This window comes from Homo sapiens, chromosome 8 (assembly GCF_000001405.40).
Source record: "Homo sapiens chromosome 8, GRCh38.p14 Primary Assembly".
Taxonomy (NCBI): Eukaryota; Metazoa; Chordata; class Mammalia; order Primates; family Hominidae; genus Homo; species Homo sapiens.
In genome coordinates, this window is record NC_000008.11 from 7,263,526 (window position 1) to 7,268,240 (window position 4,715).

General features: G+C 56.0%; 1 protein-coding gene across 1 annotated transcript; it reads left to right on the plus strand.

The window, feature by feature from the left end:
• Positions 1-1,000: 1,000 nt before the first annotated feature.
• Positions 1,001-4,011, plus strand: FAM90A3 (family with sequence similarity 90 member A3). Its single transcript, NM_001423528.1, has 4 exons — positions 1,001-1,123; positions 1,618-1,817; positions 2,276-2,384; positions 3,049-4,011. The coding sequence occupies exons 1-4, from the start codon at positions 1,001-1,003 to the stop codon at positions 4,009-4,011; spliced, it is 1,395 nt and encodes a 464-aa protein (NP_001410457.1).
• The last annotated feature ends 704 nt before the right edge of the window (positions 4,012-4,715 follow it).

A 4,715-nucleotide genomic window follows, 5' to 3' on the forward strand; every position in this document is an offset into this window, starting at 1 on the left:
AATTGTTTGTTTCACGCAATCCCTGAGGGGTATTTGCGGGGGGTGTGGGGGAGGAAGAGACAAAGGAGGCCGAAAGAAACCGATCACACTGGGGCTTGCTGGTGGGGTAGGATGTGTTCTCGTTACTAGTAATTCTTGGAACAGAAAACGAGAAAACATATCCGTCTCCACGTGTGGGAGAAGACCAAGATGGGAATGCGAAAAGAAATGTACTGCAGCATGCTGAATTGGTGGGTAAATGGAAAAAGGACTTTGGAAAAAAGGGGGGTTTGACCTTCAGCCGTGTAAGACGTCGATACGATATGGCACTTCTTCCCCGTTTGTTCAGATGAATTCGTGTGGTATGCGTAAAATACCAGGAAAATAAATAAAGAGGGGCTGGAGCTAAAGCCAAAAGATAGAACAGGAAAGACCATCACCTGCTAGTGCGGTAGAGAGGAAGGTAACTTCTCTGTATGAATTTGTGTTTGGAAGTTGCCTAATGAAATGGCAAGAGTAGCGATTCAAGTTGTCACAGGAAGCATCCCTTATCCCTGACTTCAAGCAGACCTGCCAAAGGGTGGCACACGCCATGCCCTGTGTCTTCGATCATTCTGTCCGTCAAGGGAGATAGAATCACCGTGTCTTCTACCGGAGTGAATCGTGAGAGACCTAAGTCCAGTCTCCAGAATCAGTTGTTTGTTTGGGGTTGAAAGCTCAACCCCCCATACCTAGGCCACGGGCCCTGTGGCAGGTGGGGTTTACTCTTGGACTAGGTAGTCATGGCAGAGGAACACACAATATCCGAGGATGCGCGCAGCACATTGTGTTCTACAGATTTGACCGACTGGTGGTGAGGTCTCCTCATGACCACACAGGCAGGGAGTTAGCAGGTGGCTTCCTGTGGGTGTGTGAATATCCAACGTGCTTAACCATCGACATGTGTGTGTTTGTGTGTGTTTCAGGTGGCCCAACAGTCCACCCCTGAAAAAGGCGGTCATAAAACCCCCAGGAGACGAAGATGATGGCACGTCGGGACCCCACATCTTGGGCCAAGAGACTGGTGAGAGCCCAGACCCTCCAGAAGCAGCGGAGGGCCCCAGTTGGGCCAAGGGCTCCCCCGCCCGATGAAGAAGATCCCAGGGTAAGTCTAGCCCTGGATCTCTTGGGTATCGGGGTGGGGGTGGGGACGGGGGGAGGGGGTGTCCCACGGTCCTCAGAGACTGGGTTGGATTCCAAAGAGTTCTGTCACCACCAGCCAGGTTGCTTTTCCCATCCAAGGTGGGCGTGGCTTGGGACCTTCTCCCCGGCCCGATAGGTCCCTTGAGAGACTCTTGGGGGCAACCTCCCTTTCTACTTAGAGTCCTGTGTAGCCACGTTTGGCTGCGTTGTTGACATCGGCTTCACCATCGTGCCCCTTGGAACCTTGAGTCCTTCCTTTCAGAGTTCCTCCGTCACACGGGCTTTGCGAGGGAACATCGTATCCGAACTCTCCCAGCACTTAACGGCCCCCATGCCGGTGTCCCCTCTTTGGAATCCTTATTCAGCTCTGAATTCACAATCCGTCCCAATGTTGACGTGGGATCGCTGCCTGTGGCTTCAGCTCACTCACTGACATCACTTCCTTTCCACCCACAGCTCAAGTGCAAAAACTGCGGGGCCTTTGGCCACACGGCCAGAAGTACCAGGTGCCCCATGAAGTGCTGGAAGGCAGCCCTGGTTCCAGCGACCTTGGGGAAAAAGGAAGGGAAGGAAAACCTGAAACCATGGAAGCCCCGGGTTGAAGCCAACCCGGGGCCCTTGAACAAGGATAAGGGAGAGAAGGAAGAGAGACCAAGGTGAGCAGTGGGAGGGGTTTTCACCACTCTTGGGGTACTGCCTCCTAAGGACATGGTGTCTCTGCACCTGCACACCGTGTGCCTTTCCGTCTCCGGGCCAGGGAAGGAACGCTGCAGAGAAATAGGCCGGAGCTCCGTGTCCTCCGGGGTTCCACACCCAGGAGCTCCTTGGGCTCTGGGAGATTCAGGGACGGGGAGAGGCGGGGGCGCTTCGTGCAGGTTCCCCGCGACAGCGGGAAAAGCGATGGAATCCAAATCACAGTCCTTAGTTGGGAAGCCTAGAGGGCCACCTGGAGGATGGGAAGGTTGGCACGTGAGGGAAGGTGCAGAGGCGGAAAGGGCACCAGATGTCCATTTCTGTATCACAAGACACGGAATGGGGCTGGGCCCCAGACGGGGTTCTCCCTGTCTCCTGGGGAAAACCAGGGGGCACGGCCTGACCTTTTTCTGTTCTGCAGGCAACAAGACCCGCAGAGGAAGGCTCTCCTCCACATGTTTTCCGGGAAACCTCCAGAGAAGCCGCTGCCGAATGGAAAAGGATCCACGGAACCTTCTGATTATCTGAGGGCGAGTGTCACCCCGGGCCCCTGGTCTTTTTCTCCTCTAGGTCACCCTGGTTGATTTCCTTTCAGCTTCCCGTCTGCGGGAGGAAATCGGGGAACCCCTCTTTCTTGCCTTCTTGGGGTCAGGGACTCCACGATCCTTCCAGGTCAATTGGATTCCAGGCGAAGGCATCTGAACATGCCGTATTTCCTGTTGCTTTCTTTCTGTCCAATTATGGCAAGCCTGCCAACAACACGTTCCTAGCGGCATGAGGAAATTAGTCCCTCAGAGGCCCCAAACGTGGAGAAGGCGAAACCCAGGAACATGCATGTGTTCAGAGAAGACGTCCCGAGTACCCTTGAGCCAGCAACCTGCCTTGGGAAGGGCATTAGTCCGTTCCACTTCATGGAAGGCTGAGTGGAGGCGCTTTGATCCAGTTAATGCCCAAGACGCGATCTTTTGAACAATGGTGTGCTTAGATCAGCTACACATAGCTCGAGAGCGCATCTTTCATGTGTCTTGTCCTGATCAGCACTCAGGTGGAGGGTCTGTCCCTACTTCCAAGGACCGCCTGTCGATACTGTACTAAGAATTTCATGGCGTGTGCACCTTGTCTTTGGATGTGCTTGATTTTCACGTTGGCTCCATGCTGAGGAACTTCTAACCTGTGTTGTTTCCTCTCTTTCAGGTTGCAAGCGGGCCAATGCCGGTCCACACAACCAGTAAGAGGCCGCGCGTGGACCCTGTCCTCGCTGATGGCTCAGCTACCGAAATGTCTGACAGGGGCTCCGTCTTGGCTTCACTGTCTCCCCTCAGAAAAGCCAGCCTGAGCTCCTCCTCAAGTCTTGGACCAAAGGAAAGACAGACAGGGGCTGCGGCCGACATCCCTCAGCCTGCAGTCAGGCACCAGGGCCGCGAGCCTCTCCTCGTGGTGAAGCCGACACACAGCAGCCCTGAGGGTGGCTGCCGAGAAGTTCCCCAGGCTGCCTCCAAAACCCACGGCCTGCTCCAGGCCGCCAGACCCCAGGCACAAGACAAACGTCCTGCGGTGACCTCACAGCCCTGCCCGCCAGCCGCCACACACAGCTTGGGCCTCGGCTCCAATCTCAGCTTCGGGCCAGGAGCCAAGAGACCTGCCCAGGCTCCGATTCAGGCTTGCCTGAACTTCCCCAAGAAACCGAGACTGGGTCCCTTCCAGATCCCCGAAAGCGCCATCCAGGGAGGTGAGCTGGGGGCCCCGGAGAATCTCCAACCTCCGCCAGCCGCAACCGAACTTGGACCAAGTACGTCGCCCCAGATGGGCAGGAGGACACCGGCCCAGGTGCCCAGCGTCGAACGGCAGCCTCCGCACAGCAGACCTTGCCTGCCTACTGCCCAGGCCTGCACCATGTCCCATCACTCAGCGGCCAGCCATGATGGGGCCCAGCCTCTCAGAGTGCTCTTCCGGAGACTGGAAAACGGACGCTGGAGCTCCAGCCTCCTGGCGGCCCCCTCATTTCACTCTCCTGAGAAGCCGGGAGCCTTCCTCGCTCAGAGCCCTCATGTGTCAGAGAAGTCTGAGGCTCCCTGTGTTCGTGTCCCACCGAGCGTCCTCTATGAGGACCTTCAGGTTTCCTCCTCCTCAGAGGACAGCGATTCTGACCTGGAGTGAGACTGCAGGTGGCAGGGGCTCCTTGGCCTCCAGCTCCCGTGACTTGGAGGGGACTGTGGGACTGAGGAGCGCAGAGCAGAGAGCAGACTCTGTGCGGTGACTCCGAAGCTCCCCGGCTGTGGCGCTTCTGTGGATGTGGGAGCCCAGGCCAGGCAGGGAGCAGATGCAGGGACTCTGCCTCATTGAATTCTGGTGAGGGACGTTGTAGTTGGCGTGGTTCTCCCGAAACGCGCCAGGAAAAGCTTCCGTGCCAGAGATTCGTTGCCTCAGAAACTGCGTGACGCGCAGGAGTCAGACTTCCGCTGGGACGTCAATAGGAAACTGGGGAATTACTGTGTATTTGCTCTCTAGATGACTGAATAAGGGAAAAGTTAGGGAACCCTGAGAGGTGCAGCCCTTCCGCTGTGCCCCGCCCTGAGAGCAGAGTTTCGGACGCTGGGAAGCGTGCTGTGTGAAGCGCTCTCGGGGTCTTTCCTCAGCCTCGAAAACTGGGCTCTGGAATGCCTTTGTACATATGTGTGTTTAATTGGTTTTGAAGTGAATAAAATTCTCAAAAAGATGACATATTGTCTTTTGACTCTCATTCCGTGTTTGTGTGTAACTGATTTTCCAAGTGAAGGGGTGGCCTGCCCCTCCACACCTGTGGGTGTTTCTAGTCGGGTGGGATGAGAGATGGAGAATAGAAATAAGACACAGAGACAAAG